Genomic DNA, 17,420 nt, shown 5'->3' on the forward strand with positions numbered 1-17,420 from the left:
AAATGTGCAGAATCCTCTGTGGGGACAGCTCTCCCATGATCTTGGGGTGCTCAGTGGCGCACCCCTCCCTGACTTAGAGGGGTGTGTGCAGGCATGTGTGTTGCTGTAAGTTGAGCTCTACTGAGAATGGGGCCAAGGGCATGTCAGGCTCGGGGCCACCACGTAGGTCTGTGCAAATTGCTTGCTACATGTGGACACTGGCTGCCAGAGATGAGGCTGGAATCTGAGTAGTGCTTCTCCCCCAAGCTGTTTGCCATGGGGCTGAATCTCAGGGTGATGGCAAGGGGCTTCATTTTGTCATCTGCATAAAGACTCCAGTTGAGCTGGCTGGGCTCCTAGAGTGATGGGGTTTTGTGGATGAGGGGTTAAGGGCTACTGGTTCCCAGGGAATCCCTGCTGCCATCCTGTGCTCACAAGACACCTGCTACTGCACCTCCAGACCCCTATCTCCATTCTAGGCAGGAAGAAGGGGGATGAGCACAAGGCATGGCCCACCAGTTCTATTGCTTTTTAATCAGGAAAACAAAAGCCAGAACCAAGTCATGGGGCCAGCTTCAGTTGCAGAGGGTCCAGGGAGGGAATTGATTTAATGGACACATTGCCAGCCTGAAAAAAATCAGAGTCCTGTTGCTGAGTGGGGAAGAGGGCATGGATTTGGGGTAGGTGCCCAGCAGTGCCCGGAGAAGCAGGCCTCCAGCACCACAGTATTGGCATTGCTAGTTGTAACATCCTTCTTTGTTGCCTGTATTTAACATTCTGTCAAACTTTTCTCATTCCTTTAGCATTCCACACACAACATAAAATTAGATTTAAAAGTTAAATTGAGAATTTCCAGGGACTCCTGATAAGTTTCTTAGGTCAACTACGTAGAACAGAACACTTTCCCTGAAGAGTGGGGAGGCATGTATGCCACGTGTCCCTGGGAGCCCAGTGTTCAAAGCTGACAACTCTACCCACAGGAATTGCCCCTCCTGATCACCAGGATCCAAAACAGCTGGGATGTTTTCAGTTGTTGTTGTTGGGTTTTTTTTTTTTTAAATGAAGAAGTTTGAGTTTATTCCCAACTGCATATTTAAGGATCTAAAATAGAAATTTAGCAACTAAGTCTGGGAGGTTCCAGGAGGACTTAAGCTGGGCTTGAGCCTGTTTCTCCTCGATGCCTCACGGTCCCTGGGGCTACAGCAGAACAGTTTCTCTAGATGGCTTGGCTGCTCCCAGCCCTAGCCAGGGCCCCTGCTTTAGAGAACAAGGTGAGGCCTCAGTGCAGGAGATCAGATGATGAGTGGCAGTCAGTTGCTCAGTGGGAACCTGCCTGCACAGTGTGGTTGAAGCTGCTTGGCTGGGTCAGCAGGTCCTCTGGGATGTGGCCCCATCAAACTTCCAGTCTCATCCCTGACAGTTTTTAACAACCTAGACAAAGCCACTTCTTATCTCCTGAAGGTCTTCTGTCCCCAGACTAGATCCTAGACATTCTTTAGGGCCTAGCCCAAGGGTCAGCCCTTCCAGACCCTGAGCCCCTCCACCACCAGGTGAGTTACAGTTGCTCTGCTGTTGAGCTCCCTCAACAACAGAGGGTGCAGCACACCCCATTACTGTGCTGAATGTGTCTTCAGGAGATCCACAGTGCCTCATTCATCTTTGTTACTCTAGACTTGTTACATGAGTCAAAATAGCCATCCTCCCAAGTGTGTTTGCCTCAAAGGAAACCTGAGCAAGAGCAGGGAGCTTGTGGAGCCAAGTCTTCTCCCACCTGCCCCCAGGTGCCACCTGCACCCAACTTCCTGAGAGCTGAAGAGGAAAGCTGGGGGCCTTGTGGTCACAGCTCTGGCCAGTGACAGGGTTGACTCATCACCCCACAGACACTGTCTTAGTTTGCTAAGGCTGCCATAATAAAATACCACACACAGGTGACCTAAACAGCAGAAATTTATTTCTCACAGTTCTGGAGGCTGGGAACTCCAGATCAAGGTACTGGCCAGTTAGGTTTCTAGTGAGGGCACTTTTCTTGGCTTGTAAGCAGCCACCTTCTTGCTGTGTCTTCAAGCAGCAGAGGGAGAGAACTAGTAGCACTCTGGTCTTTTCTTATAATGACACCAGTCCCGTCATGAGGATCCCACCCTCGTGACCTCATCTAAACCTAAGTATCTCTAAAGGCCCTACCTCCAAATATCATCACTTTGGGGGTTAGGGCTTCAACTTATGAATTTTGAGGGGACATAAACATTCAGCTTATAACACGTGCTTGCCAAGCTCCCATCTTTTGCTAATTCTGGGCTGGCTGCAGAGATAGGTGAAGCCCAGGACCTGCCTCTGAGGACCACACAGGCCACCTGGGAAGCCACACATAAAAGGGCTTTGAGAATGCCAGGACACTTCTTATTCCCTGCTCTCCTTCTAGGCCTCTAAGCTGGTTCGTCCCCTATTCATCCTCACCAGTGCATGCCCTTTCCTTTCTTTTCCTTGGAAGGCTCCTCTTCATTCATCTACCAGGCAGCTGCACAGAGGCCTAAGTGCACAGGAAAGGTGGAGGTGCTCTGGTATAAGGGGCATGGAATGTTTGAATGGCAAGGTGAGGGCTTTGAGACAGTACAGCTGTAGATCTGGAGGGGCTGACAGGCCAATGGTGCTGTATTCTCCTTATTGATCCTCTCTTCTCAGCATGTAAACCAGCTCTCTCTGGGCACGCACCATATGTATGAAGGCCAACCAAGACATTCGGACACCTCAAAGCCCACAAGAAAGGAATTCTGAAAGGTTTTGATTTTGTTTTCACTGCTTCTATGGAAAAAACAGATTTTTTTTTCTTGCAAAATATCACATTTTCCCAATTGAAGGAAAATCCATTTTATTTTTGTATGTGTCTGACTCTTGAAGTTCTGTTGCTGACCCAAGCTTGGCAGCATCTCAGAACTAATCCCTGATACTTTCTGTGCTGAACAGTAGCCAGTCCTTCTCTGAGCTGAACTGGGGCCATTTGTTTTCATCTCTAAATAAGTAGTGAGTGCTTTTAATAATGAAATGCAGAAAGGACCCAAGATGATGCATTAATCTTGGATTCTCCTTTTTTATCACTAAGAAAACTGCTGCAGATGGAAAAAGGCAAGAGATCATTGTTCTGGATTCCAAGAGGAGTAACGCCATCAATATTGGTCTGACGGTGCTGCCCCCTCCAAGGACGATTAAGATCGCCATTTTGAATTTTGATGAGTATGCCTTAAACAAAGAAGGAATCGAGGTGAGGGAAGCTCTATTAAGCATTATTTGTATTTTATCTTATACTGCATGTATAATATGCTGCATGTCCACATTTCAAAAGATCCATGGTGCCTTTCTGTCTCAACTAGACTCTGAATAAGGTTAATAATTCTTACACGTGTTAAACTTTTTGAGGGGAGGGGGAGTCTCACTTTGCCTATGAAGTTCAGCAATCTTCACTCAGGTTCATTTACCAGTCTGCCTCTGACCACATTCTGCCTACCTCAAAATGGAAGAAGACTATGATAACCTCCTTGGGAAGCCACTAGGGTCTTGTTTCATGTCATTTTAAACCACGTATGTTTAAAAAACCATACCTTTCAAAGGTAGGGTTTTCAGTACATGTGCACATCCATGTAAGAACTTTCTCTCTTGGCATTTGTTGGGGTACAGAGAGACATATTTCATTTGATAAGCCAGAGAGCTCAAGCCAGCTGAAGCTTTAGCATTTGTTGATCTGAATGTCACAAAGTAGAGAGACACTGGGTGGCATGGCTGTGACCGCACAGCTGGTAGCTGGAGACAGGGTTCACCTGCAGGGCCTGGGTTCATGTTCTTCCACAGGCCACGTTCTCCCTCCACTGTGGGTTGGTGCCAGTTTAGCAGGTTAAATCTCTTATTATAATAATGAAAAGAGTGAGCAGAGCCGATGTGTCCCACCCACCAATTCCTACAGAAGGGTATTATAGCTTGGGGGCCCACTGGGTCAGAGTGGGGATCTGGGGACACTGCTTTGTGGCATTGGGTGGCACCTAACCCATCCTCCTATTGGCAGGGGGCCCCAGACTCCTTTAAAGCCTCTCTGTGATTGGGGTTCATCTTCTTGTTTGAGACACTTGGGCATGGACAGAACCAATGATGCCTGACTCCAGAGAGGGAGAGCAAGCCTTCTATAGAAAAGTTGAGAGTGAGGAAGGGCCTGGGCCTCTGGCCAGAATCACCCATGGCCCTGGGAATGGGAGGGAGCAGTGGGCACACAGTACGTAGAGGGGTCTGCACCCAACCCACTAGGCATGCCTTCATGCTTTGGAAGGAAGGGACCTTCATAGGAAAAGCCATTACTAGAGGCCTGAACTGCATTGAATAGTGGACCCCCAAATTCATGCCCACCCAGGATGTGACCTTATTTGGAAAAAGGGTCTTGTACATGTAATCAAGTTAAGATGAGGTCATACTGGATTCAGGTGGGCTCTAAATCCAATGACTGGTATCCTTATAAGAAGAGGGAAGTTTGAACACAGAGAGGAGAGTGCTATTTGAAGACAGAGAACACACAGGTATACAGAATGCCATGTGATGACGGAGGTGGAAATTAGAGTGATGTTTTTAAAAGCCAAAGAATACCAAGGATCGTGGACAACCACCAGCACTGGGAAGAAGCAAAGTTCATCCCCTGGGGCCTTCAGAGACAGTATGGTCCTGCTGACACCTTGATTTTGGACTTCCAGATTCTAGAACTGTGGGAGAATGCATTTCTGTTGTTTAAGCCACCCAGTTTGTGGCGTTTTATTATGGCACCCCTAGAAAACCTATATAAGGCTCAAGTAGCTCTACTCTGAGAAACATACACCCCCTGTTCCAGGAACAGGTACAATAAGGGAAATGCACTTCTTTCCTGGCAGAAGAAGTTGTTCCCTGAGCTCTGGAGCCAAGCCAGGCAGCAAAGCCAGTCAGCATATCCAGGTGTGTTCTCTGTCTTCAAACAGCATTCTCCTCTGTGTTCAAACTTCCTTCTTCTTATAAGGATACCAGTCATTGGACTTAGGGCCCACTCGAATCCAGGAATCCAGCCTATCGAAAGAGTGAGGGCACACGGCAGACCGGAGCAGGGGACATGAAGGAGTGAGTGGGCGACAGCTGGGAGATACAGAGAGAGAGACTGAGGCAGTTGCCAGATCGCAGGAAGGGGCAGGCCAGGCCTCAGTGTGATGCATCCCACTCTGGGACCCTCCTAGAGGAACAAAGGATGAGCAGGGCAGTGGCCTGCTGTTGGGTGGACCTGGATGTACCAAGTGCAAAGCGTGTCCCCGCAGACCCTAACCCAGTGACGGATGAGAGACTTACACTGACATAGATATTTTGTCTGTCAGTGCGGCTAAGGGGCTTCTGCTCCTGAATCTGCAGCATCTGCCCCATAAGCCAGTGAAGTTTGCATTTATTTAGTACGGATTAAATGACAAAGGTCTTGAGTAAATACCACTAGAGGGAAATTAACATTGCCGACCTCCCAGTAGAGAGCAATCATGCACCCACAGATAATCAAGGGTTGGTCTTAGGACCACATGAGTAAACAAGCTGTTTAGATAAACTCCCCCACATTCCCTTGTTATTTGCTCTTTTGCTGTCAACTCAAGGTAGAGAGGATTAAGCTGCTTTCAGCCAAATCTTTTACTGGAGCTATGCAACCCCCCTGGCCTTCCAAGAAGGTTTGCTTCTCTTTTCTATAATATCCTCTTACAATTTTTCCCACCACCCTGACTGAACTCCCACATCTCTCCTCTAGGGGAGATAAGGCAGTGGCTCTTGGGCCATCCTATTTACACAACAAGGTCCTTTAGAGAGCACAAAAGCTTCAGATTCATACGGAGAGAGGCTACAAAGATAGCCAGAGCCAGCCTGATTAAAAGAATAGATGGACAACTACCCCTTTAAAAATATTTCTCCTCCTTGTCATGAGAACTTGAAAGTCCCTCAGGAGAAATTTATTCCTTTGGTTTTGCCTTTGTTCTTTCCTGAAATGCAACTCTCCCCAGGTGGGGAAAGTTTCAGATACAATAAGTTACTCAGATTCTAGAATGAACCAAATTATTATTTTTTCTTGTCTGGCTGGTTTCCAGTTGAGCACCCTTTTGATCCAGGAAGGAATAATTACAGCTATGACGCTGACGGATATGGGAGTAGCAGCACAGCACCAAATCTGACTTTCATAGGATTTTTACTGTGGGCCAGACACCAGGTAGGCGCCTGCCACAGATTCTCCTCAAAGCTTATGAGGTACATATGCTCCCCAACGTGAAGAAGAATGGGAGTCCCAGCATTAGTGTGTGCCCAGGCTCCCAAGCCAGTGAGCCAGAGAGCCGGGGAGCGGGGACACAAGCTCTGAAGCTTGAATCCAGAATGCAGGCTGCGGTTTTGTGGGGTGGCTGGCCCTGGAGGGGCCCTCCAGGCCTGGGTTTGTGTGCTGCAGAGAATAAGAGGGAATCTGAAAGGGGAGGGAGAGACATGTATGCAGCAGCGCAGCCCTCTTCACTGTGCTGCCTACATTTGCTACCCAGGAGTAGCTGACTTACAGAGCAATTTGAAGTGAGGAGACACAGCCACAGGAAACACTGGTAGCCCTTACTGAGATTTTATTGCATCGTGAGTCCTCAGTAAATTCATAGTCACAACGACACAGAGTTACATTTTTACTTTCTCTTCTAAAGCAGGTTTCTCAACTTCAATGCTACTGGCATTTTGGGTTAGACAGTGCTTTGTTGTAGGAGGCTGTCCTGTGCATTATAGGATGTTTAGCACATCCCTGGCCTCTACCCATTAGATGCCAGTAACACCTACCCTCCCCCCACAACCAAAACTGTCTCCATACATTGTCACATGCCCCCTAGGAGCAAAATCACCCTGGTTGAGAGCCCCTGATCTAAAGGCTGCCTGTGTGAATCCAGAGACTGTGTAGATCTCTCAGCACTTCCCAGTCACAGCTGTGAAGACTCCAGTCGAAACCCCTCTTGGAGAATGTGGCATCCAGGGCACTCTCAGGCATCACCTACTATCTTGGGCCATTGATCTCAGGGACCTGAGAGGCAGAGATGATCTAGATCCATGTGCCAAACCAATACCCAGAGCTTGTTCTCTAGGCTTGTTCAAGAGTTAAATCAGGACTCAGAAGAGATGCAATTGGGTACATACAGATCTTTGTTAATGAGATTTCCGGCTTGCACCCAGAGGGCCTTTAGCCAAACTGTCTGCTTCTCGGATGCAAGCACTGTAGCCTGGCACCATGGCTTAACGGGGTCGTTTGAAAGCTCTGTGTACCTAAATGTAATTAGAATGTTTTCATCCTGTGGCTTTGCTTAGCAACCCAGTGGTATGTATCCAGGTTTGTCATGAAAACCTGAAAGAGTAGTTAACTTCATTAAGGAAGTCATTTTTCATAAGAGTATTAAACCAGAAAATCATTTTGCAGCCATCTCTAAGTAGCATTAATGATATTTCCCCAAGTAAAATGGCATCAAATTATCATAAATGGAAGTATGACGATTTTTATTTTCTTTTCCTTTCTTCTCTTAATTTTATAGAGTCTGTGTCTACTCAGAGGGTAGCACAATTGAATGGTCCCAAACAGCTTGGCCCAACTTGGCTGCCAGTCCAATCAGCATCCTAGAAACAGAAGTTTTCTTTGGCCACAGATAAAAAATGACAGCATCTTTGAAAGCAGTTTAACCTGTACAGTTCCTGTCCACAGGTGCCCAGCTGCGCAGGTGCTGGATACACACAGAGGAACCTGACCACAGAGAGTCACAGTTGACTTAGCAGTGCCAGGGAACCAGAATATCTTGATGACTGAGTGGCTTAGCTGCACTGTTAATTTGCATTTATGGTTGAATTTATTCACTATTAATTTGAATCCCTATGAACTATGGAGCTAGTGCTAGAAACTAGAGGTAGCCCCTGGGTTCTTCTCTAGCTCCGCCTTGGTGGATCCAGCTTAGCTTCAGGCAAATCATTTTGTCTGTGTTTGATACAATAATTTCTGCCCTAAAGTGCCTCAATGAATAATCATAAGAATGAAAGAAGATACTATCAAGATGCTTTAAAAAGTTTTTTTTTTTAAGTTGCTACAGGAAAGTAACTACCTGGATAGAACACTATTTTCTCATGCAAATATGCATATTGTATGCAAACCAGACATAGCCCTCAGGGCTTCAACTTTCAACTTTGGTCACCAAAATCCTTGTGGCAGATGCTTATACAAAGCTGTAGCCAGTGTTCTGTTTAAAACTCACAGGGCAAAAGGATTACTCATTATAGTTTCATGTGCAGGTAGAAGAAATGGCCAAACCCAATAGTATTGGCGTCTATTTTTAAAAAGGGATTTCTGCATTTTTCTCCAAAATACATGACTTTCAGATACAAAAGCAAATATACTTAGAGCAATGCTGGAGAGACGCTGTCTAGGCAAACGCTAAAAACATGGAAGTTATCACATTGAAACAGGAAATTTTCTGTGACCCCTTCACGGGCCTTGTGATGGGGGTGCCTCACTTACTCAGCTTGCAGCTCTCAACCCCTCTAGGGAGTGGGAGCACACAGGTGAGTGAGTGCAGGAGCTGGGGCAAGTGCTTCTGGGCACCAGCAGGAGCAAAACTCCGTGTGGGCCCTGCAGTGGTGTCTGGCAGGGAGTACCCGCAACCCCTGACACCCCACAGGGCATGTGTACAGTGTGCACTGTTAGCTTTGCCATCATGGATGGCTTAAATGTTAACTCAGTTGGCCCTCTGCCTTTTCATGTGAGGTGGTTGCTCTCCACCAGTGAGGGCAGAGGGTCAGTGTGACAGCCTTTAGCGCCCGCATCTATGGCACCAGAGCTCTTGTTTAGCGTCCAGAAAAAATCAGGTCACATAAACGAATTGAAAGATGGTGAATACAGAGGGTTTCATTGCCAGTGAAAGTGGCTCTCAGCAAGAAGGAGAGCTGGAAAGGGGATGGAATGGGAAAGTAATCTTCCCCCAGAGTCTGGCCATCCCCAGCTGCACTCCTCTTTGAAGCAATGCTGTCAAGCCATCCCTCTGAAGTCAAGCTGCCTCTCTCTGACATCAAACGACAATCTCTGATGTCCTGCTGCTTCTCCTCTTCTCCCCTTCTCTGCTCTCTGCCAGTGGAGCCTGGGGTTTTTATGGGTACAGGATGGGGGTGGGGCAGACCAGGAGTGGTTTTGGAAAAGGCAACACTCGAGTGGGAAAATAGGGATGTAAAGTTCTCACTTTGGGCCACAGTTCCAGGCTTGAGGGTGGGGCCTTTGCCAGGCACCCCACCCTTTTCTGCCTAGAATTTCTCTGCTTCCTATCCCTATCAACATATTGGTCTTGTTTGATGTTTGCTTTCCTGTGAAATCAAATTATGATCGTGCAATTATCAATAAATCTACTGACTTAGAAAAACAAATTAAAAATACTACCTCATAATCATCACAGTATCATCTGCTCACAAAAAACAAGGGCCATCAGCTCATAGGAGGGGCTCATAGGAGGTGGCTTTAACCTGCCCTTCCACTGTCTTACAGCTATTCTTATTGTCAGTGATGTGTAAAAAAATAAAATGGCAGGTGGCAACCTCATAAATCTTCAACATTGAACAAATAGTATAAATTAGAGAAATGAAAAACAAAAAGAAGAGTAACTGCTTTCTCAAAGGAACAAAGCAACAAAATTCATCACAGGAAGATGTCTTCTGAAGGTTGTACAAAGTGTTGACAGTTTTTCATTTTGGAATTTTGGTCATGCCAGAAACAATGGCAGTGCTAAGGAAATTAAAATAGAAATTTTAGAGAAGCATTTATTTTGAAGACTAATTGAGTTTAAATCATGCATGTTTTTAAGGAGGCAACATCTGCTTGAAGTGTCTTGGCTATCTCTTAATGCCATCTGCATGAACAGGTGGGACACGTGCCAGGTTGTGGGCAAGCAAGGAACACTGCCACCACCTATCTCTCCAGATGCTCAAACTCCACCTGAAGCCTCAGTGATTGGAGCCCTGGTGAAGGGAAAGTTGGGAAGGGAGGTGCCTCAGGCTCACCTTCGATAACTTTACACTGACTACAGCCTGAATGCACATCTGCAATGCAGTTTTGCATCACTGGCTTCTGATAAACTAAGGCCGCTCTGCCTGTTAACACCCTCTTCAAGCCCAGGACCTCATCTATCCCAGCCAGATACGTCCTGATGCACACTTGTGTAAATATCTGCATATGTAGAGACTGTGGTGTCAAGAGCCCTGTTTCTCATTTTGTTATTTATTTTTTTAGCTTTTGAACTAATATAGAGTGCAGTCGACTTTTTGGTATATGGTTCTCTTGAGTTTTAAAGCATATAAATTCATGCAATGACCACTGCAGTCAGGATTTAAAACAGTCCCATCTTCCAACAAAACTCTTGTGTTGCCCTTTTGTAGTTGTACCCTCAACCCACCTCTGGCACCTGGTAACCACTTATGTATTCCCCATCACTGTGGTTTTGTCTTTTCAAGAATGTCCTGTAAATAGCATGTAACCTTTTGAGACTGGCTTCTTTCACTCATCATGATGCCTTTGAGATTCATTCAAGTCATTGTACATATCTATAGTTTGTTCCTTTTATTGCCGAGTGCTATTGCATTGCAGGGAATCTACTACAATTTATATATTCACTGCTCAAGAATATTTAGCTTGGTCCAGTTTTTGGCAGTTATGAATAAAGCTACTACAAATATTCATGTACAAGTGTTTGTGTCAAAGTAAGTTTCCATTTTTCTAGGATAAATATCCAAGAATGGAATTGCTGGATCATATGGTAATTCTATGTTTAATCTTTTGAGGAACTACAGCTTGTCCTCTATTCTCTAACAGTGTCTATCACAAAGCAAAAGTTTTTAACTGGATAAAGTTTGGTTTATTATCTTATTCTTTTTTGGTATCATGTCTAAGAATTTTTTGCCTAACGTGGGTTATAAAAGTTTTCTCCTATGTTTTCTTCTAAAAGTTTCATAGTATTCCATTTTACTTTTAGATCTGTGATCCATTTTGAGTTTGTTTACGTATAGTGTAAGGTTTAACTTGAGGTTGCTTTTTTTGCATATAGAGTCTAGTTGTTCTAACACCATTTGTTGAAAATAATATCCTCTCTCTATTGAATTGCCTTGCACCTTTTTCAAAATCAATGGGCCACATTTATGTGTCCTGTTCTGAACTGTCTGCTCTGTCCCATCGATCTAGGTGTCTATCCTTGTACCAATGACACATTGTCTTAATTACTATAGCTTTTTATTTATTAAAGTCAGGTTATACGATTTCTCCAAGGTTACTCTTTTTCAAATTTAGTTGTTCTAGTTCTTCTGCTTTACCGTGTAACTTTTAGAATCAGCTTGTCTCTATGAGGTAGGAGAGCAGCAGGACTTGTTTTCTGGTCCCAACCCTGATGACCAAAACAGGATCTGGTTCAGATGGGATAAAGCAAAAAAACTGACAAAAACCACAGATGGTGACAAAAGCAATCCTTAGCTGCCCTCATTGCTCATAGGTATAAGCTACTCCCACTAAAGCCATGACAATTTATAAATGCCATGGCAACAACCCACAAGTTACCACCCCTTTCCAGGGCAAGACCAAAAACTTACTGCCCCTTTCCTAGAAAGTTCTAAACAACCCACCCCTCAATTTGTGTTGACCTGGCTTTTAATTTGCATATAATTGAAAATAGATTTACATGAGTATAAATACAGTTGCCAAGAACCCATACTTTGCTGACTCTGGGCACACTGCCTAGGAGTTAGCCCAGCTCCAGAAGGAGCAGTACTGTTCAATAAAAAATTTCAGTCTATCACCACCAGCTTGCCCTTGAATTCTTTCCTGGTTAAAGCCAAAAACCATCCCAGGCTAAGTCCCAGTTTTGGGGCTCACCTGTCCTGCATCATATATCTACAAAAAATTATACTGGTATTTTGATTGGAATTGAATTAAATCTATAGATCAATTTTGGAAGAATTAACATCTTGTCTGCGTTGAGTCTTTCAATCCATGAATATAGTATGTCTCTCCATGTGTTTATTATTTGTTTCTATCTTCGATTGCTTTCATCAGCATTTTCTAGTTTCCAGCATAAAGACACTTAACAGGATTTGTTAGAGTTATACCTATGCGTTTCACTGTAAATAGCATTTAAAAAAATTTTAGTTTATTATAAATGTATAGATAACGAACTAATAAGATGGATTTTTGTGTATTGACCCTATATCATACAACATTGTTAAACTCACTTCTTTGTTTTAGAAATTTTTTGTAGATTCCTTATAGTTTTTTATGCAGACAATTATGACATCTGTGTGTATGAGCAGGTTTTTCCTTTCCAGTCTGTATGCCTTTTATTTCTTTTATGTGCCTGGCTAAGATTTCCATATGGTGTTCAATAGGAATAGTAGGAGTAGACATGAGAATTTTTACTTTAAAAAATGTAATCACAAAGGAATTTGAGCGTAGGAGAATCATAAGTATTCTGGTGCCTTTTTGCCTTCTCTGCCTTCCACAATTGATTTTTACCAGAAACAAATAGAAGTAAAAAGGTATACTTTTTTATTAGCTTGTATTTATGGATACCGTCATGATTTTTTCTGCAATCAGACTTAAGTTTAGTATTACTTAAGGTACTATCATTTCTATGTAAGTTTTGAAATACAGTTAAAATGATTATATGTCACATGAACAAAAGTCAATCTGAGTTCTTTGAAAATGATTCATTTTTATAAGCTTTTAAATTAATGCAGGAGAAGTGCTACAAAGCATATCTTTTTTACATGTCTTACTCTACTTCCTAGGGAATAGGGAGCTGTTCTCTAATCTTGTGTTTTGTTTTTCATCTTTCTCTCACCTCTCATCTCCCTTTCTTGCCTAGAATGTCCTATGTGTGTGAGACCCTGAAAATTTGGGTCAAGTTGCTTCAAGTATATTTGGTTTATGACAATATAACACCTGTACATACCTCTACTACCTGGTTGGAAAATTATAATATGAATTTTATAACATTGAAGGGACAGGGGAGGGTCCATCACTAAGAGAAAATATACTATATCATCTCCTATTTCCAGAAAATTCTAACGATGATTCCCACCGATGAGGAGAAGCAGAAAATCCAGGAAGCTCAGCTGGCCAACCCTGAAATCCCCCTGGGCAGTGCAGAGCAGTTCCTCCTCACCCTGTCCTCCATCAGCGAGCTCTCTGCACGACTTCACCTCTGGGCATTCAAAATGGATTATGAAACTACAGAAAAGGTAAGCTCTCTGTAAGAGAGGCCGCTGATCCCACATCCACAGTGTTGAGAAAGGCAGTTTTTCATTGATCAGTACTAAGGCAGTGAAATATCATTCTTGGCATAGGGTACGGAGGGTGAATTGACAATGAGGAGGTCGTGTGTACACCAAGTGATCAGCAGCTGGCCAATGAAGGCTGATTCTAAAGTGTCTGCCTGGTGCCAGCCTCAGACACTAGATTGTGGGCACCAGGTCACTGATTACAAAACAAAACAATTACATTTTTTTTTCAGATCCTATATTCTCATTGTAGAAAATATGGAAAATACAGAAAAGCACAATATAGAAAATTTCCTATAATCCTTCCACGTGATGATAATCACCTAAACTGCCAGTGATTGTGGCAATTAGCAGGTCTTTTTATGTTGCCTATTGCAAGAGTTTGGGAGGGGAACAGAAGGAAATGGGCCTTAATGGAGAAAGCTTGAGGAGGCTCCTCCTGAGTAGAAAGCAGAGGACATGGGCATCCTCTCTGGAATAGGGCAGTGGGAGTTTTTCGCAGGCTGAACAGAAGGAGCCAGTGTAGAAGAAAAGGAGGAGATGGAAAGTGAACTGTGTGGGATCTTAGTTGAGAGGAAGTCTGCAGAAGAGAGATTCTATAGCCCAGGTGAGCCAGGTGCAGTGGCTCACACCTGTAATCCCAGCACTTTGGGAGGCTGAGGCAGGAGGATGGCTTGAAGCCTGGAGTTCAAGACCAACCTGGGCATCATAGTGAGACCCTGTCTCTACAGAAATTTTAAAAACTTAGCCAGGTGTTGTGGCATGTACTTGTAGTCCCAGCTACTCAGGAGGCTGTGGCAGGAGGATCACTTGGGGCCAGGAGTTCAAGGCTGCAGTAGGCTATAATCACCTTACTGTACTCTAGCCTGGGCAACAGAGTGAGACCTCCATCTCTAAAAAAAATAAAGCCAAGTGGGGAGGCTGTGTGGTCTCCATCTTCTGGCAAAGGAAGGAGCAAGGTCCTGTACTGAGGGCCAGATGGTGGTGGGTTTGGGGGACTTTAGAAGGGAACTACAGTATTTGAATTCATCAGGAAGTCAAGCAGAGAGGAAGACACCTAGGGATTGCTGAGGTGACTGCTATGACTGGGTCACAAGACCAGACAGCATGCTCAGGTGACTTTTTTTAGCCAAGGGAGGTAACATCAGGGAGAAAACAGATCACTGGGTCAGCCTGGCAAGACCTGGGCTGGAGAAACTGAAGCTGGATTTCCTGGCTTTGGGATATAGGCTGGGGGAGAGCCTCAGTCAAGACAAAGGAGTGGGGGCCACAGAATAACAGCAGTGAGGGTGGGGGAGATGGAGGCCATGAGGCTACAGAGCAGGCTGGAGGTCTGAGGGAGGGTGATCATGAAAGCAGTGGGGTAGAGGGCAGTAGCCTTCTAGTGAGCAGCCCAGGCTGCCAGGTGGCTAGCCGTGGAGTGCCTTGAGGGGAGGAGGAGGCCTGGGGCAGTTCAGGGACATCGAGCGCACAACTTTCATTGCCAATCTGCCTGGAAGGACAAAAAGCAAAGAAGAAGACTGTGGTCTAGAAGCCGAAGGAAGATGAGAAGGAAGAGTGTCCGAGGAGTCAGCCACAGCCAGAAAGGAGAGTAAGAGGAGGGCATTCCCTAAGGCAGAAATGGGGAGTCCAGAGCCCTTGTCACCCCAGCACAAGGTCCTTTTGGTCTCCACTGCAGGGTCTGGGGAGTAGAGGCTCTCCCTGCCACACGTTTCCATACCTAGGAGCAATGCCCATCGCGGGGGATTGCCTTGTGCTGGGGAGAACACCGTGTGTTATTCCCTTATACAAAAAGTCAGAAGAACAAAGTAAACCCAAATTGTACACTCTTTATTGTCTAATTTTTTTTTAACTGAAAGGAAGTAGCAGAACCACTCCTGGACCTGAAGGAAGGAATAGACCAGTTGGAGAACAATAAAACCTTGGGCTTTATCCTGTCTACTCTCTTAGCCATTGGGAACTTTCTAAATGGAACTAATGTAAGTCATCCCCATCCCTCATCCTGTAGCCCCCCCTTGTCACAAAATCCCTGCCCAGCAATTGCTGATGAAGGTTGTACCTCAGGTTCCCCAAAGCACAGTGGAACAAATGACTTTTGTGTCTTCTTGCTGAAAATCTAGAAGGAATTTGTTCTTAAGATATCAGGGCCTAGGCCGGGCGCGGTGGCTCACACCTGTAATCCCAGGACTTTGTGAGGCTGACGCGGGTGGATCACGAGGTCAGGAGATCGAGCCATCCTGGCTAACACGGTGAAACCCTGTCTCTACTAAAAATACAAAAAATTAGCCAGGCATGGCAGCACGCACCTGTAGTTCCAGCTACTCGGAATGCTGAGGCAGGAGAATCGCTTGAACCCGGGAAGCAGAGGTTGCAGTGAGCTGAGATCTCACCACTGCACTCCAGCCTGGGTGACAGAGCAAGACTCTGTCTCAAAAAAAAAAAAAAAAAAAAAAAAAAAAGATATCAGGGCCGATTTATTTCAATCTGTGTCTTGCTATAAATAAGAAAACAGAAAAACACACACATGATTCTTTATGAAGTGTAACTACTCTCAAACTTGACATTGGAAAACTTCCTTCTGCCCCATTTTTTTTCTGAGCTTATCACTCAAATACTCATGCTTATAAGCATTTTGATGCTTAAAGAAAAACAACTGTTTAAAAATCTTTTTTTTAAGTTCTGGGGTACATTTGCAAGATATACAGGTTTGTTACATTGGTAAACATGTGCCCTGGTAGTTTGCTGCCCCTATCAACCCATCACCTAGGTATTAAGCCCAGCATGCATTAGCTATTAAGAAACGCAACTTTTTAAAATTGGCTCAGCTTTGTCCAGGAAGTAGACAACAACAGGCAAAGGGAGGAAGAAGTAGATAGGCAGATGTCAGAGCCCAGCCCCACAGCACCCTGATTTAGGGGTGAGCCCTGGGACATGGCTCATGGCTGTGGTGGGAAAGGGCTAGAGGCTCCCTCATTCTCAGGGTGGCTGGCCCATGTGTGATCAGCCATGGATCATGGAGCATGTGGCCCCAGGAGCTTCAGCCACAGAGAAACTGAATGTTGGGTGACTGCAGCCAAGAATTGATCCTAACCATCCTGTGCTATTCTCTAAGAGCCTGCTTGAAACATGTCTTTTATTGATGTTTGCAAAACAGGCCAAAGCGTTTGAGTTAAGCTACCTCGAGAAGGTTCCAGAAGTCAAAGACACAGTGCACAAGCAGTCGCTTCTCCACCATGTGTGCACCATGGTGGTAGAAAACTTCCCAGACAGCTCCGATCTGTACTCGGAGATCGGGGCCATCACCAGGTCAGCCAAGGTATGTCTGTGGACGCTGAGGAGTGGGCCTGGTCTCGCTGCAGCCACGGGATCTTTATCGGTCATCCTCGAGGAACACGAGCCCTATTAAGTAAAATGCCCAAGTGCTGCCTGCATTCTCTGCTCTGGAGTTTATGAATATGATTTGTTTTGTGGCATTTCTAATGAACTTTTAAGATCTTTTTCCTATCTCTGGTTCTCAGTCAGATTCTTTCCTACTAAGGTATGCAAGGCAAGCCTGCCATCCCATTCCTAAACCCTGCGTCCACTGTTAGGCAGTGTTACTCACCAGGGTGGATTCTCCAGAACGCTGAAACAGCACAGCTTGTCTTAGGTGGCAACCATGTCAAAAAGATGCAATTTGGCTCTTCCTGAGATGTCCATAGGACCTTGCAGTGAGGTGTGGAGCCAGAAAACAGGGCCCTCCCGGCTCCTGCTCCCCACAGATAGGCAGTCCCTATGATCTTGCCCAGAGGGAACATTTTTATAGAGCTGTAAACAGTATATGGCCTTGGCCCTCAGCTGCAAGCTCTTAAAGCGAGTGCAGAGTTAATATCTTCATGAACTTATGCTTCATTAGAAAAGAGACAGTCACAGTATGTGGACACCTGGCTGCCTCTAGTGCAGGGGGTCACTGAGGCTGACCAACTCCTAGAGGGATCCCAAACACACCAGAACTGGGAGATGTGAAGGTCTTAGGAGCACAGGAAACTCGCTAGGGGAGAGGGCAGGGGTGGAAAATACCCTTAAATAGGGCACAGCAACCAGGCTAGTGTGAAGGAACCTTCTAGAAACAC

At 45.1% G+C, this 17,420-nt stretch overlaps 1 protein-coding gene across 45 annotated transcripts in view, besides 1 other annotated feature; it reads left to right on the forward strand.

The window, feature by feature from the left end:
• FHOD3 (formin homology 2 domain containing 3) overlaps window positions 1–17,420 on the forward strand; it is a 482,508-nt gene that overhangs the window by 429,857 nt on the left and 35,231 nt on the right. For all 45 annotated transcript variants that reach the window (XM_011526189.2, XM_011526190.3, XM_017026008.2 and 42 more), the window contains 4 exons: window positions 3,077–3,235; window positions 13,087–13,269; window positions 15,168–15,287; window positions 16,463–16,624. In XM_011526189.2, coding sequence (XP_011524491.1) covers window positions 3,077–3,235; window positions 13,087–13,269; window positions 15,168–15,287; window positions 16,463–16,624 — 624 coding nt within the window. The remainder of the gene's footprint in view (window positions 1–3,076; window positions 3,236–13,086; window positions 13,270–15,167; window positions 15,288–16,462; window positions 16,625–17,420) is intronic.
• Window positions 7,659–7,708: an enhancer, noted in NCBI's record as "active region_13242". NCBI's record gives its function as "activates an Ori minimal core promoter by ATAC-STARR-seq in GM12878 lymphoblastoid cells {active_cell/tissue: GM12878}" and the evidence as "EXISTENCE:reporter gene assay evidence [ECO:0000049][PMID:35858748]".

Source organism: Homo sapiens, chromosome 18, assembly GCF_000001405.40.
Source record: "Homo sapiens chromosome 18, GRCh38.p14 Primary Assembly".
NCBI classification, from domain to species: Eukaryota; Metazoa; Chordata; class Mammalia; order Primates; family Hominidae; genus Homo; species Homo sapiens.